This window comes from Homo sapiens, chromosome 11, assembly GCF_000001405.40.
Source record: "Homo sapiens chromosome 11, GRCh38.p14 Primary Assembly".
NCBI lineage: Eukaryota > Metazoa > Chordata > Mammalia > Primates > Hominidae > Homo > Homo sapiens.
This window is the reverse complement of record NC_000011.10, coordinates 67,587,195-67,613,417: the sequence shown is the minus strand read 5'-3', so window position 1 is coordinate 67,613,417 and position 26,223 is coordinate 67,587,195. Positions and strand designations below refer to the sequence as shown.

Below are 26,223 nucleotides of genomic sequence, written 5' to 3'. Positions count from 1 at the left end.
TAAGGCGGTGACTCCTCACCTCTCCAGGGCCACACCTAACCCGCCAATCTTCCCCGATCAGTTTCCTGCATCCAAATGCAGGGAAGAAATCTAAATTCAAAACCAGTGTTCACAGGAAGACCCTGAACCCCGAGTTCAATGAGGTGAGCCAGGGCCAGGCAGGTCCCAGCCAACCCTGGCCTTGACATGCTGAGCCACTACCCTACCGTGGCCTGCTTCTTAAGCTGTGGGAGAGCCGAGGCTGCCTCCTTCCCGCCTCTCTGCCCTTCTCCCTGCAGGAATTCTTTTACTCAGGCCCACGGGAGGAGCTGGCCCAGAAGACGCTGCTGGTGTCTGTGTGGGACTATGACCTAGGCACGGCTGATGACTTCATTGGTGAGTGGGAACATGAGGAGCTGGGGTGGGGGCCCAGTAGGCTCCTGGCGGTTCCTGACCCATCCCCCATGGCAGGCGGGGTGCAGCTGGGCAGCCATGCCAGTGGGGAGCGCCTGCGGCACTGGCTTGAGTGCCTGGGCCACAGTGACCACCGCCTGAAGCTGTGGCACCCGCTGGACAGCAAGCCTGTCCAGCTCAGCGACTAGCCCATGGGCCCTGCCTGCCGCCCCTCCACTACAGCTGCCTGAAACGTCCCCACAAAAATGATGGCGGCTGGGGCTGCCTTACCCTCATGCCCAGCCCCAAGTCAGAGAGGTGTTTCCTCTCTCCCCGCTTTCACATTCACCCCACCCCAAATCATGGAGCCGAAATAAACATCTCCTTCAAGCCAGATGAGACCCTGTCCTTTCTCTGGCCATGGGCCAGACTGGACCCTGTTCTCCCCTCCCACCCTTGAGGATCGTGTGCTGGGTAAAGGGTAAAGAGCACAGTCACAGCAGCGGCAGCTGGAGGGTGGGCAGCACTCGCTTTATTGTCCAGCATTCCACATGGATAGACGCAGGACAGCAGGCCAGGGTGGTGGGCTAAGAGGCAGCCTGCCGGGCCTGATGCTGCTGGGCAAACCGCTGCATCCGCTCCTCGAGCTCCGGCCGAAAGTGGCGGATCAGACCCTGGGGTCGGTGGGGGGACCATGTGAAACAGAGTCCAAAAATCCCCCAACACCCTGGGCCCTTGATGCCACCCACCCTCCGTGCTACGCAGAAGGGTGGTGAATACCTGCACAGGCCAGGCGGCCCCGTCACCCAGAGCACAAATCGTATGGCCTTCTATCTGCTTGCTGATCTCCCACAGGGAGTCGATCTCGGCCGGCCGGGCATCCCCCCTCACGAAACGTGCCATCACCTTGTTCATCCAGTCCACACCTGCAGCCACAGCCACAAGAGAGGGCCTGATGATCTCCCCAGCCAGGATGTGGGGCGGCGCTTGAGGGCTGCAGGCCACGTGGTGGGGAGGAGGTTAAATGAAGCCACAGCAAGCAAGCCCCCAACCTGCCCGATGCTCACCCTCACGGCATGGGGTACACTGGCCACAGCTCTCGTGCTTATAGAACTCAATGAGGCGGGCGATGGCTTTCACGATGTCCGTCTGGGTGACGAGGGGCAATTAGCAGGCACCCACGGCCAGACAGAAGCCTGGGCCTCAGCCCCCTAGCAGCAGCCCCTCCCCCAGTTCCAGAAGCTCTTCCCAGCCCACCCAGCGTTCTGGCCTCCTCCAGCCTCCCTGGGCCCCCTGTGCTGCCCAGACTCCGGGGTATTCTCCTCAGAGCAGCCTTCCTCCCTCCTCTTCCACCTTGCTTTATCTCAGGCTGCAGGAACTGAGACCTGAGTGCTGGCAAGAGGGTTTTCTGGGAGGCCCAGGGAGGGAGACAGCAACCAGGAGGGCAGGGACCAGGGCTGGTGTGTGAACCCTTACCGAGCGGTCCATGACGATCACCGCAGCTGTGCCCAGGCCTGTCTGTGCCTGCACCAGCGCATCGAAGTCCATCAGCACCGTCTCACACACAGACTTGGGGATCAGTGGGGTAGACGAGCCGCCAGGGATCACAGCAAGGAGGTTGTCCCAGCCGCCCGTGACACCCCCTGGGGCCCCAAGTCGGTCCCCAAAGGGATGCATGGTCAGGGCTGGGGCCGGCACACCTGCCTAGTCCTGAGCCCAGGCCCTTAGTCAGCCCCTAGACCCAGCCCCGTCTCCTGAGCCCTCCCGCCCAGGCTCTCTTTGTGGACACCTGCCCCCACTGCGCACCCCCCCACCACCTGGCTGGCCCCAGGCCTTACCAGCATGCTTCTCAATCAGTTCTTTCAAGGGCACAGACATCTCCTCCTCCACAGTGCAAGGGTGGTTGACATGGCCAGAGATGTTGAATAGTTTGGTGCCTGAGTTGCGTTCTCTGCCAAAGCCAGCAAACCAGGTACCTCCACGGCGGCAGATTGTGGGGGACACTGCCACTGTCTCCACGTTGGCCACAGTTGTGGGGCAGCCAAACACTCCTTCAGGGAAATGGGAAGAGAACTGGTGGCTGCTAGGGGGTGGGGCAAGTTTCCTGGCAGGGAGGTGTGTCCCAGGGTCCTGCACCCATGGCAGAGCCCCTGCTCTAATATCCCCTTATCATTCTTATCCCTGCTGGACCCCAAACTCCAGAGATGCCCATTGCCTTGTTCACCCCATGCCCTTAGCCTCAGAACAGGCACTGTGAAGGTGGAGCCACAGAGCAGCACTGGTGCGGAGGGGACCGAGGCAGGAGGAGGGACAGCAGGCGGCCCTGGGGGAGCCTGTGTGTTGTTGCCAGCCTACTCTCTATCTGGCCCCAGCCGGGAAGCCACTCAGAAATCCCTAAGAACAATCCAAAGGGAGCCTAGCCAGATCCCGGGTGTCACAGGACACAGTCTGACCCAGGGTTACGCCAGGCCTTACCCACGTCTGCGGGGAAGGGGGGCTTCAGGCGGGGCTTGCCCTGCTTGCCCTCAATGGACTCGATGAGCGCTGTCTCCTCTCCACAGATGTAGGCCCCAGCCCCGCGCACCACAAACACGTCAAAATCATAGCCAGAGCCACAAGCATTCTTGCCAATCAGACCTGCCTCATAGGCCTCTCGGATGGCCACCTGCAGGACAAAGGTGTGAGTTTCCCAGCCCACCCCCAGCCCAGGAGTCAGCCTATAACTTCAGGAGTCATGAAGCCCTTGAAGGCCTCCCACGGTGAAGCTCCTAATGCTCCTGGTATAAAAAATTTTGCTAGCTTAGTAAAACGAATTGGAAAACTTGACTATGATCTGGAACAGATAAGCAAGAAGGAACACATAAGTAAGCTGCTTTGCTGCCAGGAAAATAAAAACGAAGTAGCTACTATCAGGTCTCCTAACTACCCTAGTCTGTAAAGGAAAAATAAAAGTCCTTATAAAATTAAAATAAAAATGTAATTGCCTATATCCTTATTGCCTTAACCTATTTTATTTTTCTATATTTCCTACAGATATAAGTATTATTCATAGTTCCAAGCAATGAACATAATGTATTTTCTCCAAATAGGAATTGTTTATATTCATAATTATTCCGCTCTCTTGCTAAACACATAGTTCCACTTAGGTTTTTTCTTCTTGCTACTTGTTTTATAAAAAATACTATATTTTTGAAGCAAAAAAAAAAAATTTACACCAGCAGCATTAGGAGCCCTGGAAGGAGGCTTTGGGAGCCAAGTCCCATTTGGGATGCATGCAGGACTGGCCACCACTCCCCCAGTTCAACCACTGACAGACCAGGTACTAACACCTCAGAACAACTGTGCTGGGTGAGGGGTGTGTGAGTGCACACTGAACACCTTCTCATCTGTCTACATCTCTCCCTACCCACCTGCAGATTGGAGGCCTCATTGTAGAATTCCCCTCGGATGTAGATATAGGCAGCGCGGGCGCCCATGGCCCGGCCCCCCACCAGGCAGCCTTCCAGCAGCTTGTGAGGATCATGGCGTAAGATCTCCCGGTCCTTGCAGGTGCCCGGCTCCCCCTCGTCTGCGTTCACCACCAGATACTTGGGCCTGCAGGGGCCCACAGGTCAGACAGGCTACAGGGCCATCAGGACTGGGTCTTCAACTCCATGCCACCCCACTCCACCCAGGGAGGCCTCAAAGATGTCTCCTCTGACAGCCAATCCTTTACTGCCCTCCCAACATGTCCCAGGGGCTCTGCTTGCTCACCACCAATGACAGGGAGCTCACTGCCTATTCTGTCTTTGGGTGGCTATGACCACAAGAAAGGTCTTCATTCAGCTCATCCAAACATCTCTCCTTGTGTCTGCCCCTGAGAGCCAGATTCTACTCTTGGTGACAAAGAGCATTCCTCAAGCTCTACCATCAAAAGGAGGTAAAGCAGGTGACATTTATCATTTGCTTTATGTGCCAACCAGCATACAGGCCAAAAGCTGTATGAACATTATCTCTTTAATCCTTGCATGATATCACTGTACCTATTTACAAAAAGGAAGCTAAGGTTCACAAAGGCTGGGAAATTGCCCAAACCTCTATGATTAGGAGGCAGAGCTAGGATTTGAACTAAGTCTGCCTGAGTCAAAATCATGTGTTGATTCTGCTACATAAGTCTCCCCTGTGGAAGTCCACAGAGTAAGTCCCATCCATTTAAGGCCTGGGAACATGTGCCCACCTCATTCATGCTAAGTTTCTAAGGAAAGAGCCCAAAGGCCCAGGGAAACCCCAGCCACCCCCAAGGTCTCTCCCACAGCCACATCTGCCCCGCCCCCACACACACACCTGCCATCTGAGGGCTTATTCATGAAGCTCCACTTGAGGCCAGTGGGGAAGCCAGCGCCTCCACGGCCCCTCAAACCCGATGTCTTGATCTCGCCCAGGATCCAGTCGGGCCCCTTCAGCAGGATCTCCTTTGTCTTGTACCAGTCACCTCGACTCAGGGAACCTTTCAGCCTGGACAGAATAGGGAAGGCAATGAAGGGGACACCTTGCTCCGGGACCCAACACACTAAGGGCACTGTCTCACCTCCAGTCATGGCGGCCGTACAGGTTGGTGAAAATCCGGTCTTCATCCTTCAGCGAGCCAAATGAGGTTTTCTTGGGTGCTGTCTAGGGAGACAAAGGGTCAGGAGGCCCAGAGTGCTCTGGGGCCATGAGGGATTGGGCCAGAAGCTACAGAATCTTGGGTCTCCCTATTTAGGAGGGGCTGGGCTAGGGCTAGGGAAGCATCTATAGCATCATAGATACCACTGCCACTTAGTAAGCATTTTTTTTTTTTTGAGACAGACTCTTGCTCTTTTGCCTAGGCTGGAGTGCAGTGGCGTAATCTCAGCTCACTGCAAACTCCACCTCCCAGGTTCAAATAATTCTTGTGCCTCAGCCTCTGGATAGCTGGGATTACAGGCACTCACCACCACGCCCGGGTAATTTTTGCACTTTTAGTAGAGACAGGGTTTCACCATATTGGCCAGGCTGGTCTCGAACTCCTGACCTCAAGCGATCCGCCCGCCTCAGCCTCCCAAAGTGCTGGGATTACAGGCGTGAGCCACCGCGCCCGGCCATTAGTAAGCATTTTGTTTAGCAGGTACTGGATGGAAGCATTTTACATCCAAAATCCCATTTCATCCTCATAAGAACTCTGATAGGAACGATTTTCTCTGTTTCACAGAGGAGAAAACTGAGGCTTGGAGCAAAAGGAGCTTATGGAAGGTCTCACAGTCAAAAGCAGCAGGTCCAATTTGAGCCCAGGTCTGTCGGTGGCCAAACCCACAGCTGCATCACGGCACCACACAGCCCCACAAGCCGAGTGTGGCAGCTTGGCCCTTTCCCGGCCTGGCTCCCCTGCTGGACCAAAACTTGGGTAGGCCAGGGGCCTTTTATATTCCTACCTCGGCCGAAGAGGCGAAATGTGTTTACTGATGGGAAAGAAATGCCTCCTTAACACACAGGTGATGGAGGGGCTCACTTAGGATGAAATGAGGAGCCCCACGACCCAGTGGAGAGCGCACCAGCTGAGGGCGACGGGATTCCCATCCTTTTAAGAGCACTTTTCAGCCACTTCAGGGCGCAGAGCAGTGGACGGGAAATCAGGAGGTGCGCATCCCTAAATGGGGCAATGACCCCTTCACGCCCTACAAGGCTGTGACAAGGAGAGAATGAAAGACTAGGGGTCTTCACAACCTGCAAAACTTCCGCCAGGCCGAGGACTGTAAAACAAGGGAAGCCAGCAAGTCAGAGGGTCAAGGGAGTCGGCCCCGCGTTGGGACCCGTTCCCCTACTTCAACCAGGCCGGAGCGGGGGCCTTCCCGCCTGGCCTGGGGAGAAGGGCTCTCCAGAGGCCACTACAGACCCCAGGGACTGCTCGTGCACGGGCGCGGCCGCGACACCCGGCCCCAAACACCCGTGGCCCCAGCCAGGCTGGGCCTCACCGTGTCGCCGCTGAAACGCACAGATACCCGCGCGGGAAGCGACCAGCCGAGCAGCCGCCGTGTTGCCAGCATCGCGGCGGGCCAGATGGGTCACCTCACGCTGTCACCTTCATAGCACTGAGGCTGAGGAACTGGCGCGATAGAGACGCTAGGTGGCGCGCAGGAAAGACGTCACGCGCCCGACGCCAGCGCCGCGCACCGGTATCGCTGCGCCCCTTCAACTTCGCCAGCGGCCCCGCCTCCTCGGGGGAGGACTGAGAGGCCAGTGCCTTGGCGCCGGGGCTTCTGGGAGATGTGGTCCCACCGGCCTGGGGTCCGCCTTCCTCCCTCCACCGGGCTGGCATTTAGCGGTGGCTGTCCCCACCGCTCGCTCTTTCGCTCCCTCCTTAGCTCGCCGGCTCCCAGCCTTTGATGCCACAAGTAAACAAACCTCGCATGTCGCCTTCTGCTGGGTCCTGGTGTGTTCCACTTTCTATAGATTCGGCGTTTAGTGTGCACCTGCGGTATGCATCGGTGTATCATGGGAGGAGTGAAAAGTCAGGCAGGTCATAGCCCGATCCTCATGACTACGTTGCAATTATTCTGCCCAGTGCGAGCCCTGCCAGACTGTGGGCTTCCCCACCCCGGGCGTCCGTGTGCTCGAGGAAGGATTGCAGACTCCAAGGCAGGGGGTTGTTCGCGGAGTTCTTCCCAGAGGGCCTGTCACGGAATCCTAGGCTGGGGTGAGGCAGAGAGGATGCAGATGGTCAGTGCACGGCACAAACTCTTGCTGGCGCCGCTGAGTTCTCTCAGCTCTTGTCAGGAGAGTCCAGCACTTTCTGCTTCTGCCCAAAATCCTGGCATGGTCCCTGCTGCTTTTGGAATCAGCCACTGGTCCAGGATTTAAGGGCTCTGCGACCCCGTCCTTCGCCAGGGTCATCACGCCCAGGCCACTGCTGTGAACCCCACCCCCGTCCCCCAAGACCCCTTTCTGCCGTCATTAGACTTTAGGGCGTTTGTGTGGCTGTCCCCCTCCCTCGGTTTTCCCCTGACCTGAGGAGGTCCCTCTGTCCTTTGCCTTCCCAGGAGGTCTTGGAAGCCTGATGAACTCGTCTTTTTCAGTTTCCTGGAACCCTCTGCTGTGGTCCTCGTGATAAGAGTGACCTTTTTGGCCTGCTCTCCCCAGCTCTTTTCCAGTCCTCATGGTGAGGAACCATCTCTGTTCTTTTGTGCTGTAATCATCCTTCCTGATCTCTCTAAAACGTGCTGTTTACAAAACTCCTTTGCAGCTATTTTCTCACATACCCCACAGCAGCCCCACAAGGTGTTCACTCCATTTTGTCCACGAAAAAACTGAGGCTCAGGGGGATTTTGTCCTTTGTCTGTGGGCATGAAGCTGCTGAGTGGTGGAGCTGGACTGGAATCTAGGCCTTTCTTCCTTTCCACAGTGCCCCGCACACAGCAAACCCACAGAACAACTGACACGCATGTGACAGTCACTGTGGACGTCAGTGACATTCCCAAGAGAGGCACCAAGAAATCTCTTCCCTGTCTGAGGTTTCCCAGACAGATAGAGTAGTATCAGGCCCAGAGCCCAGGAGTCCTGGCTGCCAGCCGCAGGCCCCCTCTCTTGGTCAGGGAAAGAGGTTGCCTAGGCAAAGCTGGGGATTACACAGCTAATCCGGGCTCAGACCTGAGTCCTCGGATCCCTCCCTTTGGGGCAGAAGAAGGGGGGCAGGTCAGAGCCAGCCCAGCGGGTGGATTCCTTCCTCATCTGTCTCTAACTGGGTCAAAGGAATACAGGCTGAGGGAGATGCAGGTTGGGGATGCTGGGGACAGGAGATGCTGGGCATGAGGGGGGATGGAAAACGGAGAGTGAGGGAAGGATCCTCTGTTCATTCAGTGCCAGGCTCTGGGCCAAGCACTTGCCATGTGTTACCTCCTTAATCCTCCAAAACTCCAGCCTCAGGAATGATGAGCCCTGTTTTCAGAAGCAGGGTATCAGCATTGCTGAGTGGCCTGCCCAGGATGACACAACTGCCAGAACTCGGCCTGAGGTCTCCTAACAACAAATCCCCCACTGGTCCCCACCCACTGGAGCACCTACTTGCCAGGCTTCTCAAGCGAAGAAGGAGATCCACTCTGATGTCATCTCCCAGGAGCCTTCTCTGCAGCATCTCAGGTCCTGGCTCTCACCTCCTCAGCACCCATCCCATCCTGTGTCACTCTGTATATCAGCCTCCCCAGCCAGCCTCCAGGCCACAAGCCAAGAGGTATCAAGGGCTCCTCCCTGTCCCACTGGCCCCACATCCACTGTGTCTATCTGGTCAACTTTACCTTCCAAACATTCCCTGCACAGTGATAGATGGCTGTGGCCCTGTCATCTCTCACCTGAAATTAACAATGTATCCTTGGGGCCTCCCACCCTCACATCTTGGCTCCTCCAGCCCCTTCTCTGCAAACATGGAACAGTGGGATTATTATAAATCTCAGACCCGTTTTGCCCCTTTCCTGCCTGAGAGTTTTTGTGGTTCCCCACTGCCCTCAGAACAAAGCTCAAGACCCTTTGGCCTGGCATTCAAGGTCCTTTGTGCTGCCACCTGTCAACCTCCCCAGTTCCAGCTCCTTTGGCTTTGCCCATACAAGCTGGATCTGCACCAGAGGATCTGTCTTCCTCCCAACTTGGCCCTAGTCCTCCTAGGAGCCCTTTGGACGTCACCTCCCCCAGGAAGCTTTCTGCAACCACCCTACAACCGTCCCTATAAACTTTATAAAACCAATTAGTGTGGGGAAAAGCAAGAGAGATCAGATTGTTACTGTGTCTGTGTAGAAAGAAGTAGACATAGGAGACTCCATTTTGTTATGTACTAAGAAAAATTCTTCTGCCTTGAGATTCTGTGACCTTACCCCCAACCCCGTGCTCTCTGAAACATGTGCTGTGTCAACTCAGAGTTGAATGGATTAAGGGCGGTGCAAGATGTGCTTTGTTAAACAGATGCTTGAAGGCAGCATGCTCGTTAAGAGTCATCACCACTCCCTAATCTCAAGTACCCAGGGACACAAAAACTGCGGAAGGCCGCAGGGACCTCTGCCTAGGAAAGCCAGGTATTGTCCAAGGTTTCTCCCCATGTGATAGTCTGAAATATGGCCTCGTGGGAAGGGAAAGACCTGACCGTCCCCCAGCCCGACACCCGTAAAGGGTCTGTGCTGAGGAGGATTAGTAAAAGAGGAAGGAATGCCTCTTGCAGTTGAGACAAGAGGAAGGCATCTGTCTCCTGCCTGTCCCTGGGCAATGGAATGTCTCGGTATAAAACCCGATTGTATGCTCCATCTACTGAGATAGGGAAAAACCGCCTTAGGGCTGGAGGTGGGACCTGCGGGCAGCAATACTGCTTTGTAAAGCATTGAGATGTTTATGTGTATGCATATCTAAAAGCACAGCACTTAATCCTTTACATTGTCTATGATGCAAAGACCTTTGTTCACGTGTTTGTCTGCTGACCCTCTTCCCACAATTGTCTTGTGACCCTGACACATCCCCCTCTTCGAGAAACACCCACAGATGATCAATAAATACTAAGGGAACTCAGAGGCTGGCGGGATCCTCCATATGCTGAACGCTGGTTCCCCGGGTCCCCTTATTTCTTTCTCTATACTTTGTCTCTGTGTCTTTTTCTTTTCCAAATCTCTCGTCCCACCTTACGAGAAACACCCACAGGTGTGTAGGGGCAACCCACCCCTACAAATTAGGGAAGAAGTAGGGGGAAAAGATGAAAATAAACCAAGCCTGCAGCATACTCAGTATTCATCATGAGGTCAGCTGCTCTCTGACCTGCTTCCTCATGGCTGGTTGGTGCCTGTTGTCCCGGAGTGACAAAGACCCTAGATTATAGCTGCCCTTAACTGCTGTATAAATAACAACTTGAACATGAAATGCTAAATTTTCCTTTTGAAGTATTCCTTCAGATCCTGCATGCTGATAAAACTACTGACTCAACTGGTCCCCATGAGGAGCTGGCTCACCAAAGAATGCGGTTTCCAATCCCAATTATTTCATGCCCCTTGCTTAGGCAATCAACAATCCCAAATTTCCAGCCCCTTGCCCTCCACAATCTCCTTAAAAAATTCAGTCCAAAACTCCTTGGGGAGATGGATTTGAAGGTCTCCTCCCATCTCCAAACTTGGTGCCCTGCAATCATTAAACTCTTTCTCTGCTGCAAACCCTGCTATCTCAGTGTAATTGGTCTGTTACTGCATACATATGGGCATACAAACCTGTTGGTCCTACAACAACCCCATACAACTATCTTGAGCACCTATTGTCAGGCCCAGTGTGAGTAAGGCACGATCAGATCTTCCCCAACCCCCAGCATAGAGCTTCTCAAGGGAGGGACTTACTCAATATTGTAATCAAATATTATATTTGAAAAATGAAAAACATCAATTTTTTTCCTGTGTTTGAAATTGAAGAAATACCAAAAAAGCAAGAAGAAAGTAATAACATTTTATGACCATCCTGACAATACCTGTTACTGTTTCTAGGTGATTTTTTTTTTAATATTTATTTATTGAGATGGAGTCTCGCTCTTTCCACCCAGGCCAGAGTGCAGTGGTGCAATCAGCTCGCTGCAACCTCTGCCTCCTGGGTTCAAGCGATTCTCCTGCCTCAGCCTCCCAAGTAGCTGGGATTACAGGTGCACACCACCACACTTGGCTAATTTTTGTATTTTTAGTAGAGACAGGGTTTCACCATGTTGACCAGGCTGGTCTCGAACTCCTGACCTCAGGTGATCCACCCACCTCAGCCTCCCAAAGTGCTGGGATAACAGGCGTAAGCCACCGAATCTGGCCAAATTGTTACTTTTTCTCGAACTCGTGAACTCTCGGCTCACTCATGCGCCACCGTGCCCGGCTATTTATTTTTTTTTTTTAGTAGAGACAGGGTTTCTCCATGTTGGCCAGGCTGGTCTCGAACTCCTGACCTCAGGTGATCCGCCCACCTCGGCCTCCCAAAGTGTTGGGATTACAGGCATGAGCCACTGCGCCTGGACATATACTCTGTTTTTGTTTTCACTTCATATTCAGGAAGGGGGATAGAGATATTAGCTTTTGCTTGGACATGAAATTTAGGTATGATCTAAAAATTTAAGAGTAATCACTAAAAATAAAAGTAAAATGTGTAACTTCCAATAGTAGGGGAGAAGGGACTAGCACAAAAACCTCAATTCAACTGAAGACAAGAAAACAAAGTAAAGAAGAAATACAGGGAAAGAATGCTAAATAGGAAATACAGGCCAGGTGCGGTGGCTCACGCCTATAATCCCGACACTTTGGGAGGCCGAGGCGGGTGGATCACTTGAGGCCAGGAATTCGAGACCATCCTGGCTAACATGGTGAAACCCCGTCTCTGCTAAAAATACAAAACATTAACCGGGCATGGTGGCAGGTGCCTGTAATCCCAGCTACTCGGGAGGCTGAGGCAGGAGAATTCCTTGAACCCGGGAGGCAGAGATTGCAGTGGGCCGAGATCGTGCCATTGCACTCCAGCCTGGGTGGCAGAGCGACTCCGTCTTAAAAAAAAAAAAAAAAAGTTTTTCTAGTTTTTCTTCTCTGGTCTTGATGTGTTTGAGAAAGACATAGTGGGTTTCAGGTTGTATCCTGCTGTCTTGAACTGGAAATCTTTTTTTTCCATGAATTTAAACTGGAAAGAGTAAAGTCTATCAGTCACGGCTGGTGGGGCACGCAAAGGACAAGGTGAAAGTATTTAAGGCAAGCAGCACAATGAATGACGCATCAGGCCCAGGCCTCTCTCCCTGCTGGCCCAGCTCAGGGGCCATGGAATACCCTCCGCGCCGCCATCCTGGTGTGGCCACTCTCCATCACTCTGCCAGGGTCTCAGGGTCCCTCTTTGGCATATACCATCCTGATGCATTAGACATGGTCTGCAGTTTCCATCACGGAGGACCAGGGAGGTCTTGGGCATACACAGACCCCAGGTACCGGTATCAGTCCCCTGGGTCCGGTCCTGCTGGCGCCTCCCTGCAGCAAACTCACATCCGGAAACCCAGAAGATCAGGTCTAGGTAACGATTGTTTCTGCATTGGTCCTTTGCCCATCCCCCTGTTGTCACCTGAAGTCTTGCCTATACCCCCTTTGTCCCTTAACACAAAAGCTCTTGTCCCTTAACACGAAAGCTCTAGTCTCTTCTTTTTCACTCCTCATAGTCCTTGATGGCTATCTGGGATGACAGACACCAGGAAAAGCTTACACACCCCTTCAACGCCCCTTCTAAGCTGTGAGAAATGTGAAACTCGTCTTCCCCATTCCTCAATGGTTCAGGTTTTAGAAATGTCAGGCCTCATCTTATAAATCAGCAAAAAGAAAAAGAAAAAGACTGTTGAGTTTTTATGATCAGAAACAGGTTGAGCAGTTGTCTTCTATTACATTTTCTTCCTCCTGGGGCCACTTTGCACCTTGCAAAGACAATTTCCTCCCACTATGCAAAACTCAAAGCCACAAAGGACATTGAAGGGGACCTCTGTGGCTGCAGCCGGTCATGAGGCCATGGCCAGTATTTATGGCTTCCTTCCTTTATCGTGCACCCACAGTCCCCGCCAGTTGGCCCCTCAGCTGCTGGGAGGATGGGGGAGCCAGGCTGGTTCACAGGGCTTTCACCAGGTGGATGACTTAATATCATAAAAGTGTCACATCTTCAAATTAATCTGTAAATTCACTGCAAATTCCCATCAAAATCCCACCAGGGCTTTTCATGGAAGTGGGAAAGCTGACACCAAAATGTATATAGAACAACAAAGGGCCAAGAATAGCCAAGACAATTTTGAAGAAGAAGATGGGGTGGGTGGTGGGTTTCGCCCTGGCAGATAGCAAGACTGATTCTAAAGCCATAGCAATCCAGTCAAGTAGACCAATAGTTCTTACATATAGTGCATCTTTATCATCATTCGCTAGATGTTCTGCAATTTTGGTTTTGATTTCTTCTTTGACGGGAGTCATTTTAAGAAAGATTTATAAATGTACAGGGGTTAGGGGGATTTTGTTTCCCGGTTTTGTTATTTTTCATTTTATTGCCTCATAATGAAAGACTGTCATCTGTACTATTTCTCTCCCTCTCCCCACCCCTCTTAATCCCTGGAATGTTCTAAAATTTCCTTTAAGGCATAATACATAATTATTATAGTAAATGTCCCAAGAGCAATTGAAGGGTGGTGCCTCTCTGCTTTCCTATGGCAGAGTTTGAAATCTTATTTAAAACTGCCAGAGTCCTTGTCTATCTGTGAGCTTTTGTTGTATAGGTGCCCAGATATGTTACTTGGTGCACAGATGCTCTTAACTGTAGTCACTTGAGATGTGTCCTACTTTCTTTCTTTCTTCTTCTTCTTTTTTTTTTTTTTTGAAACAGAGTCTCGCTTTGTCGCCGCCCAGGCTGGAGTACAGTGGCACGATCTCGGCTCACTGCAACCTTCACCTCCCAGGTTCAAGTGATTCTCGTGCCTCTGCCTCCCGAGTAGCTGGGATTACAGGTACATGCCACTGGGACCGGCTAATTTTTGTATTTTTAGTAGAGACAGGATTTCACCATGTTGGCCAGGCTGGTCTCTATCTCCTGACCTCAGGTTACCTGCCTGTCTCAGCCTCCCAAAGTGCTGGGAGTCTCCTACTTTCATAAGAGATAAAGTGTGTATTTAGATGGAATGTGTGTTTTGGTTTTCATGGTCTTTGTGGCTTTTGGGGTATTCTGAAGGATTAGTGGGAATCCCAGCTCCACCATTAAAAACCACAGGTCCTCCCTCTTCCTGTCAAATGTTGCAAATATTTCCTTTATCATCTATCTGATAATCTAATAAACAATAATGATCATTGTACAAGAGAAAACTTCAGATAAATGCATGAGGTGATGGTCACACTAAATATCCTAATTTGTTTGTTTTTGAGACAGGATCTCCCTCTATTACCCAGGCTGGAGTGCAGTGATGGGAATATAGCTCACTACAGCCTTGACCTCTTGGGCTCAAGCAATCCTCCCACCTCAGCTCCAAAGTAGTTGGGACCACAGGCATGAACCACCACACCCCACTAATTTTTTAATTTTTTATAGAGATGGGGTCTCATAATGTTGCCCAGGGGGACCTTGAACTCCTGGGCTCAAACAATTCTTCCGCCTGGGCCTCCCAAAGTTCTGGGATGCTAGATGTGAGCCATTATGCCCAGCCTACCTAATTTGATCATTATAAAACACATATATGTATATGGAACCACCAAATTGTACTCCATAAATATGTACAAGTACAATGTATCCATTAAAAATTTAAAAAGAGAAATCTTTTGTTTTGATATAGTTAAATTCATTCATTTAGGGGCCTTATTTAAGAAATCTATCTCGGTTTTTTTGGTGGAGACGGGGTTTCGCTGTGTTGGCTGGGCTGGTCTCTAGCTCCTAACTGCGAGTGATCCACCAGCCTTGGCCTCCCGAGGTGCCGGGATTGCAGACGGAGTCTCGTTCACTCAGTGCTCAATGTTGCCCAGGCTGGAGTGCAGTGGTGTGATCTCGGCCAGCTACAACCTCCACCTCCCAGCCGCCTGCCTTGGCCTCCCAAAGTGCCAAGATTGCAGCCTCTGCCCGGCCGCCACCCCGTCTGGGAGGTGAGGAGCGTCTCTGCCTGGCCGCCCATCGTCTGGGATGTGAGGAGCCCCTCTGCCCGGCTGCCCAGTCTGGGAAGTGAGGAGCGCCTCTTCCCGGCCGCCATCCTGTCTAGGAGGTGAGGAGCATCTCTGCCCGGCCGCCCATCGTCCGGGATGTGGGGAGCACCTCTGCCCGGCCGCGACCCCATCTGGGAGGTGAGGAGCGTCTCTGCCCGGCTGCCCCATCTGAGAAGTGAGGAGCCCCTCCACCCAGCAGCCGCCCCATCTGAGAAGTGAGGAGCCCCTCCGCCCGGCAGCTGCCCGGTCTGAGAAGTGAGGAGCGCCTCCGCCCGGCAGCCACCCCATCTGGGACGTGAGGAGCGTCTCCACCCGGCAGCCACCCCGTCCGGGAGGGAGGTGGGGGCCAGCCCCTCTGCCCGGCCACCACCCCGTCTGGGAGGTGTACCCAACAGCTCATTGAGAAGGGGCCATGATGACGATGGCGGTTTTGTGGAATAGAAAAGGGGGAAAGGCAGGGAAAAGATAGAGAAATCAGATTGTTGCTGTGTCTGTGTAGAAAGAAGTAGACATGGGAGACTTCATTTTGTTCTGTAGTAAGAAAAATTCTTCTGCCTTGGGATGCTGTTGATCTATGACCTTACCCCCAACCCTGTGCTCTCTGAAACATGTGCTGTGTCCACTCAGGGTTAAATGGATTAAGGGCGGTGCAAGATGTGCTTTGTTAAACAGATGCTTGAAGGCAGCATGCTCTTTAAGAGTCATCACCACTCCCTAATCTCAAGTACCCAGGGACACAAACACTGCGGAAGGCCGCAGGGTCCTCTGCCTAGGAAAGCCAGAGACCTTTGTTCACTTGTTTATCTGCTGACCTTCCCTCCACTATTGTCCTATGACCCTGCCAAATCCCCCTCTGCCAGAAACACCCAAGAATGATCAATAAAAAAAAAAAAGAGAGAGAGAGAGAAAATAATGAAGTGAATGGTATAAAATGTTGAATAGGTAAATCTGGGTAAACGGTAAATATGGCTGTTTTTGGTAGTTTAAAAAATTTTTTTGCAACATTTTATAACTTTGAAATTATTTCCAAATAAAAAGTTTTAAACTCCAAAAAGAAAAAAAAGAAAAAAAAAAGAAATCTATTCCTAGCCCAAGGTCATAAGAAACTTTCTTTAATTATTTTTTTCTGTTAGTATTTTATTTTTCTCTCTCAAGTGTAGGTGAACCCTAGTGCAGGGCTTCTCAACCTTGACACTATGGCCATTTGGGGCTTTGCTGTGAGCTTCTCAACCTTGACACTGTGGCCACTGGGGCTTTATTTGCTAGCTGCCCTGTGCATTGGAGGATGTTGAGCAGCATCCCTAGGTGTCAATAGCACCCCACAAGTTGGGACAACAAAAATGTCTCCAGATATTACCAAATATCCTCTGGGTGACAACATTGCCTCCTCTCGAGAACCACTGATCTGTTTAGATTTTATTGTATATGGTGTGAGGTAAGGATCCAGTAATTTTTCTTAATAGGTGGAATCAGTTTCACTAATGCTATCTAAATAACTCTTCTTTTCAAACTTATTTATGATACCACTGCTAGTACATACTGAGTTCCAAGATAGGCATGGATTTGTTTTATATTTTTATTTTATTTTATTTTTCATTTTTAAAGCATGGGTTGGTTGTATGTGATAGAGACTGGCTAGATATCACAAACTCATTTCCTCTTCTCAGACACAGAGCTAAACTGTTTCTCAGTCTTCTTGCATCCAAATGGGGCAGAAATGAAGTGTGTCACTTCCAGGCCTGGGCAGCCGGGAACAAGTGTGTCTTCACCTTGTTCTCTCTCTCTCTCTCTCTCTCCTTTTCAAAGACACCTTGCAAACATATGAATCTGGGTTGAATGGGCTCAGTTCTCACTCAGGGAGATAACCAGAACAAACTATAAATATAGTCTCTGAGTCCAGGGGTCAGTTAATCAAGATTCCTAGATTGAAGCTTGAAGCATATTTTCCTGATTTGTGGTTTTAATATCTCTGTTTATGGCAGAAGGCATTTCAGCAAACTCCTCAAGTGCTCCCTACATCAGGCATGAGGGGTTTTCTCTGAAGTTTAATCCAGTTGTCCATATCCTGCTTGTAGGGCTTTAGGAACAAAGCAATCCTTGTTCTTAATGATTACAAGTCAGAAAAGTGGGAGACACTTAAATTGGAGAAACCAAAAAGAATTCGGGCTCAAGCAATCCTCCCATCTCAGCCCCCTAACTAGCTAGGACTACAGGCCTGTGCCACCACACCTGGCTAACTTTTGTATTTTTTGTAGAAACGAGGTTTCGGCATGTTGCTCAGGCTGGTCTCAAACTCCTGAGCTCAAGTGATCCACCTGCCTCAGCCTCCTGAAGTGCTGGGATTACAGGCATGAGCCACCATGCCTGGCCTGATAAATTTTTTTAAATTAGCTGGGCATGGTGGTTCATGCCTGTAGTCTCAGCTATTCAGGAGGCTGAGGCAGGAGGATTGCTTGAGCCCAGGAGCTCTGATTTTGCCACTGCACTCCAGCCTGGACAATAGAGCAATACCCCATCTGTAAAATTATATATATATATCCCATTAAGAAATATATATGATTATATACGTTCGTGTATGTGTGTGTATATATACGCATACGTATATATATGCATCTGTGTGTGTATCATATCATATCATATATATGAGATAGATAAAGCCAAATGAATAAACAAAGCTGGAGAAAGAAAGACAATGAAAAACATTGTGGCCGGACACGGTGGCTCACACTTGTAATCCCAGCACTTTGGGAGGCCGAGGTGGGCAGATCACAAGGTCAGGAGTTCGAAACCAGCCTGGCCAATATGGTGAAACCCTGTCTCTGCTAAAAATACAAAAATTAGCCGAGCATGGTGGTGGGTGCCTGTAGTCCCAGCTTCTTCAGAGGCTGAGGCAGGAGAATCGCTTGAACCCGGGAGGCAGAGGTTGCAGTGAGCAGAGATCGTGCCACTGCACTCTAGCCTGGGTGACAGAGCGAGACTCCATCTCAAAAAAAAAAAAAAAAAAGAAAAGAAAAGAGAAAAGAAAAAGGAAAACATTGTAAGAGTATAAAAGGTATATAGAAACTTTATCTTGAGTAGTGGTCAAAAGTGATTGAGATTAGATGGATCTGTTTGCAAGATTTTATTATAACTATATTTTTAGCTGTAGCATTAATAATACACTAATGTAAAGGTAGAATTTAGTTTTCTCTTTTAAACGAGATTTTCATGTAGTAGTAATAAGAGATTGTAAAAGATTTTTGTTTGCCTTTTGAGCAAACTGCAAAGTGAAAAAAATAAAAAAAGAGGAGCGAGTTTGCCTTATGCTTCCTTCATTAGGTCTTTGGATTGTTTAGAAAACTGAGTCTCCTCTCTATCAAACAATAAAGGTTTTTGCTTTCGGAAATCTTTTTTTTTTTTAGATGGAGTTTCGCTCTTTTTGCCCAGGCTACAGTGCAATGGTGCGAACTTGGCTCAATGCAACCTTCCCCCCACCCCCCGTGTTCAAGCGATTCTCCTGCCTTAGCCTCTTGAGTAGCGGGGATTACAGGCACCTGCCACCATGCCCAACTAATTTTGTATTTTTAGGGGAGACAGGGTTTCACCATGTTGGCCAGACTGGTCTCGAACTCCTGACTTCAGGTGATCCTCCCACCTTGGCTTCCCAAAGTGCTGGGATTACAGATGTGAGTCACCACACCCAGCTTTTCTGAAATCTTTCAGTTATCACTTTGGCTAAATGAATGACTATTATTTTGAAGTTCCCCATGATTCTATTTTGAACAAGTCTTTTAAACCTTTTCTATTTTAATATCAAGTGTTTTAAAGCTTTGGTATTTGACAAACTTCCAAAAATGAAAATTCAAATTCTAAATTAAGCCATTTTGACCTCAAACTAACGTTTCAACATTTGAAAAAGAAAAAAAAAACCCATGTAAGTTCAAGAGAACTTGGTATTATTTGGCATGTAAAAATTACACAGCAAGCATTGTCAAAAAAGAAATGACATTTAACTTTCTTTGAGTTATATTTGTGAAATGTGTTATTAATATGTGTTCCAAAATTATATGAGATTCCTAAAAATCTGATATGTGTTGGTATATATTATCAGTCATTATTGTAAGTATTGTGTTGAATTATAGTGATACGGAAGGGGGGCAGGGAAGTGCTGGGTAGAGGAATGTGTAGTCCCTGGCTAGGGCTCCACCCCCAGGCCTGTGCCCATGGACCTGGGTGAAGACAGGCATTTTTGTTTTCCTGCCCAAATATTGCATTTCCAAAGAGCACCCTGGCCCACCACACCCATATCCTGTGCCTATAAAAACCCTGAGACCCTAGCAAGCAGACACACAAGCAGCTGGACGTGGAGAGGAACACATTGGCAGAAGAAGACACAAGTGGCTGGACGTTGAGAGGTCATTGAGGGGTGCCAGCTCTGTCCCACAGACCCTGGCCAACAGAGGAAATGAGTACCCAGACACAGGTATGCAGTGTTAAGAGCAGCTAGGTGACTGCCTGGCTCTAGTGGAAGAAGCTGGAGCTGCTTTGCTTTTATTCAGTGCAGGCACAATGTCGAAAACCTGGAGCCGACACAATCTGTAAGTCATTAATATTTATTATTCCCCTTTCAGGGAACCTCATGTTCCCTGAAACATGATCATAGGTGATCATAGATGATCTAAGGTCAGTTCCTGGTCGACATAAGTAAACATGCCTATTTAAGATAAAATCCCCCATACTCCCTTGTACCTACTCCTTGCCCTCTGCCTCAGGGTTATAGAAGAGCTGCCTTCAGTTCTTCTCCCCCAGGGCTCTGCAGAACCTTCCCACCTTTCAGAAGGTTTGCGTCCTTTCCCTATAGTTCTTCCCACCTCTCTGACCAATCTGCCACAGAAGGGAGCAGGCTGGTGGAAGAGCACACGACAGACGCCAGCATGCCGGCAGGCCATCCACCTGCAGAACGAGGCGGAGTTTGGCCGGGCAGTCAAAGGCAAGCCCAGGCCGCTGAGCAGCCTGACTCCAGGGCAAAACCTTCCCACTCCATGCCCTTCTGGCTTCCTCCAACTGCTGAGAGTTACCTCCACTCAATAAAACCTTGCACTCATTCTCCAAGCCCAGGTGTGATCCTATTCTTCCAGTACACCAAGGCAAGAACCTGGGATACAGAAATCCCTCTGTCCTTGTAACAAAGCAGAGGGTCTAATTGAGCTGCTGGTTAACACAAGCTGCCTATAGATGGCAAAACTAAAAGAGCACCCTGTAACACATGCCCACTAGGGCTTCAGGAGCTGTAAACATCCACCCCTAGATGCTGCCGTGGGTTGGAGCCCCACAACCTGCCCATCTGTATGCTCCCCTGCAGGTCTGAGCAGCGGGGCACTGAAGAAGCGAGCCACTCCCCCATCACATGCCCTGCAAGGGGGACAAGGGAACCCTTCCCGTTTCAGTAGGCCACAAAAAAATAAAATGACCAAATTTCTTTGTTGATTGCATCTTTGACCATGACTACTTTAAATCTTGCCCTATTCCTTCTTGGAGAGCTCCCTCCAATCTTCATGGAAACTAATGAACCCATTTCACTGGTCAAATAATTCAGTTTATTTGTAACGTATGGCTGATTTTTCAACATTTCCATTGTCCATACCACCCTCAGTCTTCCAGACTTGTGAAATGCACAAATAATAAAAATCAAATTGGCAAAGCTTATAGAAACTTTTTTTTTTTTTGAGACAGTCTCCCTCTTGTCGCTCAGGCTAGAGGGCAGTGGCGCGATCTCAGCTCACTGCAACCTCCGCCTCCCAGGTTCAAGCAATTCTCCTGCCTCAGCCTCCTGAGTAGCTGGGATTACAGGCACCCACCACCATGCCCAGCTAATTTTTGTACTTTTTAGTAGAGACGGGTTTCGCCATGTTGGCCAGGCTGGTATCGAACTCCCGGCCTCAGGTGATCCGTCTGCCTCGGCCTCCCAAAGTGCTGGGATTACAGGTGTGAGCCACCGTGCCTGGCCAAGCTTATAGAAACTTGAAACTTCTCTGGCCTAAGAGTCTCCCATTGGTATTGCTTAATTCACACTCTACCCCATTTCAACAACATCGGCTTTCTTTCTTTGAAATAACAGGAAGGCCATGTGCCTGAATGCAGAAGTCTATGAGCTAGCTCTTCTTAAAAATGCTATACTTCATGATTGCCAGGGCCTTTATAAAGCTTCTCAATTAAAAAAAAATTTAATTAATGAAGAATTCTTTTAAAAAGCAATCTCCCTGGAGACAGACATCAAAGATCACAGCTTCCAACCTGGAGATTTTGTTTATTGGAAACATCATCAAATAAAATACTCCCTCCAACCATGTTGGAAGGGATCATGTCACGTACTGTTAACCAGTCTTTGTGCAGCTAACATCAGGGGCATTGACTCATGGATTCTCATTTTTTTTTTCACTTTAAAAAGGCAGCCCACCTGAGTGGACATCTTTCATCACCAGAGATCTCCCACCGAAGCTGACCACAACCAGTCACCTTGTTCTTCAAACCTGGATGAGAAGTGGAAACTCGGTTTGGAAGGATCACTCAAAAGGCTAAATGGCTGCAAGCTGTCAAAAAGCCAACCCCATTACATGATCTATTTGATTTGTTACCTTCACAAATAAGAACACTTTTCAGATCTGGATTTCAACTTGTTTTGTTAATAACTGTCTTTATTTGCATCATATTTTTTTTTTGATACAGTTTCACTCTTGTCGCCTAGGCTGGAGTGCAGTGGCGCCATCTCAGCTCACTGCAAGCTCCGCCTCCAGGGTTCAAGCGAATCTCCTGCCTCGGCCTCCTGAGTAGCTGGGATTACAGGTGTCTGCCACCACACCTGGCTAATTTTTGTGTTTTTAGTAGAGACAGGTTTCACCATGTTGGCCAGGCTGGTCTCGAACTCCTAACCTCAAGTGATCTGCCCAACTCAGCCTCCCACCTCAGCCTCCCAAAGTGCTGGGATTACAGGTGTGAGCAACTGTGCCCGGCCAGTAGTTTTTATTCTTAAATTGATTATGCTTTGCATTTCTAGATGTCTTAAGTCAACAACAAAAAATAAAATCATGATAGCTAGATGCTTAGAAATGCTCTCACATGTCACGGCTCCTTTGTAAGCGGATGGCTCGACTGAGTTCCCATTGCTTTGTCCCTCTGTGGTTCTAATCAATTTGACCTTGAGACTTCACTAAATTCTTTTTTTTTTTTTTTTTTTTTGAAATGAAGTCTTGCTCTTGTTGCCCAGGCTGGAGTGCAATGGTGCGATCTTGGCTCACTGCAACCTCTGCTTCCCAGGTTCAAGCGATTCTCCTGCCTCAGCCTCCTGAGTAGCTGGGATTATAAGCGTGCACCACCACGCCCGGGTAATGTTTGTATTTTTAGTAGAGACGGGTTTCACCATGTTGGCCAGGCTGGTCTCGAACTCCCGACCTCAGGTGATCCACCCGCCTCGGCCTCCCAAAGTGCTGGGATTACAGGCGTGAGCCACCGTGCCCGGCACCTTCACTAAATTCTTTAACCATAGGTACCTCTCCTCTTTCTCTCTGAAGTAGGACAGATGGCCTGGGAATAAGCCTTCCCAGTGACATGGGACAAACTTGCATCTAACACATTGATTCCTGAATCTTACGTGACAGTGAACAAAAATCATATGCATAAAAAAAATGTCGATCATCAATGCTTTCAGAAGAGAAAAATATCTATCAAAAGAGGGAAATGAGAAAGAAAAGTAGCTTAGAGCAGTGTGAAGAATGCGAGCTATGCAAAACGTATCAGGCCAGGAGAGACAGGAAAATGAGTCTCCCTGCCGGGGGTAGTTGTTTAAGGGTATTTTGTTCTTTCTTCTCGTGTAGTTTCCAGACTAACTGATAAATTAAAATGCTATCAGGCATCGATTTTTTTTTTGAGACGGAGTCTCGCTTTGTCACCCAGGCTGGAGTGCAGTGGTGCAATCTCGGCTCACTGTAAGCTCCACCTCCCAGGTTCACGCCATTCTCCTGCCTCAGCCTCCCAAGCAGCTGGGACTACAGGTGCCTGCCACCACACCCGGCTAATTTTTTTGTATTTTTAGTAGAGACAGGGTTTCACCATGTTAGCCAGGATGGTCTTGACCTCCTGACCTCGTGATCCACCCTCCTCGGCCTCCCAAAGTGCTGGGATTACAGGCGTGAGCCACTGCACCCGGTCAAAAGTTTGGGTTTCTTCTGGCCTATATATGGACCAAGTAGGGGCTTGTGGACCTTGGATATTGTCCTCAGAGCAATACCATTCTGCCTCTTGCATCCAATTTTGAGCTTCCTCAGGTCCTGTCAACATATGTGTAACTAGATTACTGAGGTCAGGGTGGAGCCCATTAACAAATAGGGCAGACAAAGCATTTTCTATGCCGGACAGGGATACCTTTTATTATTGCTCTGAGCTTAAGATTTTAACTATGGCATAAGGGTAAAGAAGCAGACATGGTTGATTTGACAGCCTAACTTGTATAACTTATCTAGCTGGGTTTTTTTTCATTGCATCGTCAAGGTGGGAAGGTAACCAAGCAAAGAAGTCAGCAGATTCAGAGGAGGCTAGTGAGAAAGATGGAGAACTTAGAACCCTCTGCTTGCCAACCAAAAATACAACCCATTATTTCTGGGGTGTTTGGGATCCCCCCTCTTTTTTTTCAATGCATTCTGGAGATGAGCAGTTTTATTTAGGTTAAAACTTCCCCACTGTGGCCACCAAAATTCTAAATTATTTTTGGTAAGATTCAATCATCTCTCTAGAAGAGCACAAGTCCTGCGATGGAGTCCCAGACCCCCTGGATTTAAATGAGCCCAGAATTGTTTGTTTTCCTGGAACCTTACCTATTAGAGGTCTTTCACTAAAACCATTTCAGTTTCTGTCTGACCCAGTCAGATACCTGAAGCCTCCCTACAGGATGCGTTAAACTTCTACCACAACTTCCAAACCCAGTCCAGATCGGCTCAACTCAGAGAACTCGATTTAAGTTCTGGAGTTTGTATGTGATATGGTTTGGCTGTGTCCCCACCCAAATCTCATCTTGAATTGTAATCTCCACGTGGTGAGGGAGGGACTTAGTGGGAGGTGATAGGATCATGGGGGCGAATTTCCCCCTTGCTATTCTCGTGACAGTGAGTTGTCACGTGCTCTGTTGGTATAAAAGGATGTGGAACTTCCCCCCTTACCTCCCCTGCCACCATGTAAGATGTGCCTTGCTTCCCATTCGCCTTCTGCCACGATTGTAGGTTTCCTGAGGCCTCCCCAGCCATGCAGAACTGTGAGTCAATCAATCTTCTGTCACCCAGGCTGGAGTGCAGAGGCGTCATCTCAGCTCACTGCAGCCTCTGCCTCCCGGGTTCAAGGGATTCTCCTACCTCAGCCTCCCGAGTAGCTGTGATTACAGGCACGTGCCACCATGCCCAGCTGATTTTTTAAATATTTTTAGTAGAAATGGGGTTTTCACCATGTTGGCCAGGCTGGTCTCCAACTCCTGACCTCAAGTGATCTGCTCGCCTCAGCCTCCTGAAGTGCTGGGATTGGCTGGGTGCAGTGGCTTACGCCTGTAATCCCAGCACTTTGAGAGGCCGAGGCGAGTGGATCACCTGAGATCAGGAGTTTTGACACCAGCCTGGCCAACATGGTGAAACCCTGTCTCTACTAAAAATACAAAAATTAGCCAGGCATGGTGGCATGTGCCTGTAATCCTAGCTACTTGGGAGGCAGAGGCAGGAGAATCACTTGAACCCAGAAAGTGGAGGTTGCAGTGAGCTGAGATTGTGCCACTGCACTCCAGCCTGGGCGACAGAGTGAGACTCTGACTCAAAAAACAACAACAACAACAACCAGAAAAAAAACCAAAGTGTTGGGATTACAGGTATGAGCCACCACACCTGGCTTAGCCTCTTTTCTTTATAAATTACCCAGTCTCAGGTAGTTCTTTATAGCAGTGTGAGAAGGGACTAATACAGTATCTGAGTGGGACTTACCAGTGATGACCTTCAAATATGCTGCAGGAAGCAGCGTGCAGGGGGCTCAGTGAAATGCCTACACCTGTTTGCTCATTGCTCCTGGAGACCATCACTGGGCCCAGGATGGGGAGAAATCCTTCAGATCCTTCTGATGTCCTTCTGAAGGATCCTACCTCTGACATCAGATCTGCTAGAAGATAAACTTAAGCCCATTTACATTCTAAAGAGTTTATTTGAGCATTCAGTGACACATAAATTAAGATAGCACAAGACCAAAGCAGCTAGTGCTTCTATTAGAGGGGAAGTGAAACTTAATCATTTTGCAGAAGCCAGACAAAGAAAACAATTTTGACTGGTTAGAGTGAAAAGTCCCAAGTTAGAGGTTAGTTGGCAGTTTCTGATTAATATAGCGTATTAGGCTGGGTGCGGTGGCTCACGCCTGTAATCCCAGCACTTTGGGAGCCCAAGGCGAGTGGATCACGTGAGGTTAAAAGTCCGAAACCAGCCTGGCCAACATGATGAAAGCCCATCTCTACTAAAAATACAAAAATTAGCCAGGCGCGGTGGTGGGCACCTGTAATCCCAGCTACTCAGGAGGCTGAGGCAGGAGAATTGCTTGAGTCTGAGAGGCAGAGGTTACAGTGAGCAGAGATTACACCACTATACTCCAGCCTAGGCACCAGAGTGAGACTCCATCTCAAAAACAAAACAAAACAAAACAAAACAAAAACAGTGTATTAGTCCATTCTCACACTGCTACAAAGACCTATCAGAGACTGAGTAATTTATGAAGAAAAGAGGTTTAATTGACTCACAGTTTTGCAGGCTTAACAGGAAGCATGACTGGGAAGCCTCAGGAAACTTACAATCAGGGTGGAAGGTGAAGGGGAAGCAGGCACATCTTTACAAGGTGGCAGGAGAGAGAGAGCGATTCTCATGCCTCAGCCTCCCAAGTAGCAGGGACTACAGGTAACCGCCACCACACCTGGCTAATTTTTGTATTTTTAGTAGAGACGGGGTTTCACCATGTTGGTCAGGCTGGTCTTGAACTCCTGACCTCAAGTGATTCACCTGCCTCAGCCTCCCAAAGTGCTGGGATTACAGGCATGAGCCACTATGCCCAGCCTAGATAAATTTGAATGCTTTTCTCTTGCTCATGTCTTTAGTTCTCAGGCCCAGCCAAAAAACCCTAAAAGGACAGAGATAAAATTTTG

General features: G+C 49.3%; 1 protein-coding gene and 1 long non-coding RNA gene across 3 annotated transcripts, besides 10 other annotated features; one reads left to right on the top strand and one right to left on the bottom strand.

Annotated features, from left to right (window-relative positions):
- Positions 1-516: an enhancer, noted in NCBI's record as "H3K4me1 hESC enhancer chr11:67380373-67380888 (GRCh37/hg19 assembly coordinates)". NCBI's record gives its function as "activates a minimal SCP1, AML or CMV promoter by ChIP-STARR-seq in naive H9 embryonic stem cells {active_cell/tissue: H9 hESC(naive)}" and the evidence as "EXISTENCE:reporter gene assay evidence [ECO:0000049][PMID:30033119]".
- Positions 486-1,685: an enhancer, noted in NCBI's record as "CDK7 strongly-dependent group 2 enhancer chr11:67379204-67380403 (GRCh37/hg19 assembly coordinates)". NCBI's record gives its function as "activates an origin of replication core promoter dependent on BRD2, BRD4, P300/CBP, MED14 and CDK7 cofactors, with strong dependence on CDK7, by STARR-seq in HCT116 cells {active_cell/tissue: HCT116}" and the evidence as "EXISTENCE:reporter gene assay evidence [ECO:0000049][PMID:35650434]".
- Positions 864-6,482, bottom strand: NDUFV1 (NADH:ubiquinone oxidoreductase core subunit V1). Of its 2 annotated transcripts, none has more exons than NM_007103.4 (10): positions 6,342-6,482; positions 4,940-5,022; positions 4,696-4,866; positions 3,783-3,966; positions 2,848-3,037; positions 2,211-2,423; positions 1,849-2,015; positions 1,440-1,521; positions 1,153-1,298; positions 864-1,046 (listed from the first exon to the last, which is right to left on the bottom strand). In NM_007103.4, the coding sequence occupies exons 1-10, from the start codon at positions 6,411-6,413 to the stop codon at positions 960-962; spliced, it is 1,395 nt and encodes a 464-aa protein (NP_009034.2). In that variant the 5' UTR covers positions 6,414-6,482; the 3' UTR covers positions 864-959. The 2 variants fall into 2 exon arrangements, with proteins under 2 accessions (NP_009034.2, NP_001159574.1); NM_001166102.2 differs by having other exon boundaries at positions 6,369-6,482.
- Positions 6,404-6,533: an enhancer, noted in NCBI's record as "active region_5114". NCBI's record gives its function as "activates an Ori minimal core promoter by ATAC-STARR-seq in GM12878 lymphoblastoid cells {active_cell/tissue: GM12878}" and the evidence as "EXISTENCE:reporter gene assay evidence [ECO:0000049][PMID:35858748]".
- NDUFV1-DT (NDUFV1 divergent transcript) lies at positions 6,712-10,538 on the top strand. Its single transcript, NR_130935.1, has 3 exons — positions 6,712-6,799; positions 7,407-7,525; positions 8,315-10,538. It is a non-coding gene; the product is annotated as an NDUFV1 divergent transcript (long non-coding RNA).
- Positions 6,914-6,973: an enhancer, noted in NCBI's record as "active region_5113". NCBI's record gives its function as "activates an Ori minimal core promoter by ATAC-STARR-seq in GM12878 lymphoblastoid cells {active_cell/tissue: GM12878}" and the evidence as "EXISTENCE:reporter gene assay evidence [ECO:0000049][PMID:35858748]".
- Positions 7,873-8,558: an enhancer, noted in NCBI's record as "H3K27ac-H3K4me1 hESC enhancer chr11:67372331-67373016 (GRCh37/hg19 assembly coordinates)". NCBI's record gives its function as "activates a minimal SCP1, AML or CMV promoter by ChIP-STARR-seq in primed H9 embryonic stem cells {active_cell/tissue: H9 hESC(primed)}" and the evidence as "EXISTENCE:reporter gene assay evidence [ECO:0000049][PMID:30033119]".
- Positions 9,245-9,930: an enhancer, noted in NCBI's record as "OCT4-NANOG-H3K27ac hESC enhancer chr11:67370959-67371644 (GRCh37/hg19 assembly coordinates)". NCBI's record gives its function as "activates a minimal SCP1, AML or CMV promoter by ChIP-STARR-seq in naive H9 embryonic stem cells {active_cell/tissue: H9 hESC(naive)}" and the evidence as "EXISTENCE:reporter gene assay evidence [ECO:0000049][PMID:30033119]".
- Positions 12,712-12,761: an enhancer, noted in NCBI's record as "active region_5112". NCBI's record gives its function as "activates an Ori minimal core promoter by ATAC-STARR-seq in GM12878 lymphoblastoid cells {active_cell/tissue: GM12878}" and the evidence as "EXISTENCE:reporter gene assay evidence [ECO:0000049][PMID:35858748]".
- Positions 25,005-25,294: an enhancer, noted in NCBI's record as "active region_5111". NCBI's record gives its function as "activates an Ori minimal core promoter by ATAC-STARR-seq in GM12878 lymphoblastoid cells {active_cell/tissue: GM12878}" and the evidence as "EXISTENCE:reporter gene assay evidence [ECO:0000049][PMID:35858748]".
- Positions 25,005-25,363: a biological region, named in NCBI's record as "MPRA-validated peak1312 silencer".
- Positions 25,163-25,363: a silencer, noted in NCBI's record as "peak1312 fragment used in MPRA reporter construct". NCBI's record gives its function as "represses an SCP1 promoter by STARR-seq MPRAs in K562 erythroleukemia cells {active_cell/tissue: K562}" and the evidence as "EXISTENCE:reporter gene assay evidence [ECO:0000049][PMID:32103011]".

What these genes read in the sequence shown, in the direction of transcription:
- NDUFV1 (NM_007103.4), bottom strand. Translation starts at nt 6,413, where the DNA reads ATGCTGGCAACACGGCGGCTGCTCGGCTGGTCGCTTCCCGCGCGGGTA. An exon ending in TACGGCCGCCATGACTGGAG is followed by an intron (nt 4,867 to 4,939) that starts GTGAGACAGTGC and finishes TATTCTGTCCAG; the next exon opens with GCTGAAAGGTTCCCTGAGTC. An exon ending in TGATCGTCATGGACCGCTCG is followed by an intron (nt 1,522 to 1,848) that starts GTAAGGGTTCAC and finishes CTCGTCACCCAG; the next exon opens with ACGGACATCGTGAAAGCCAT.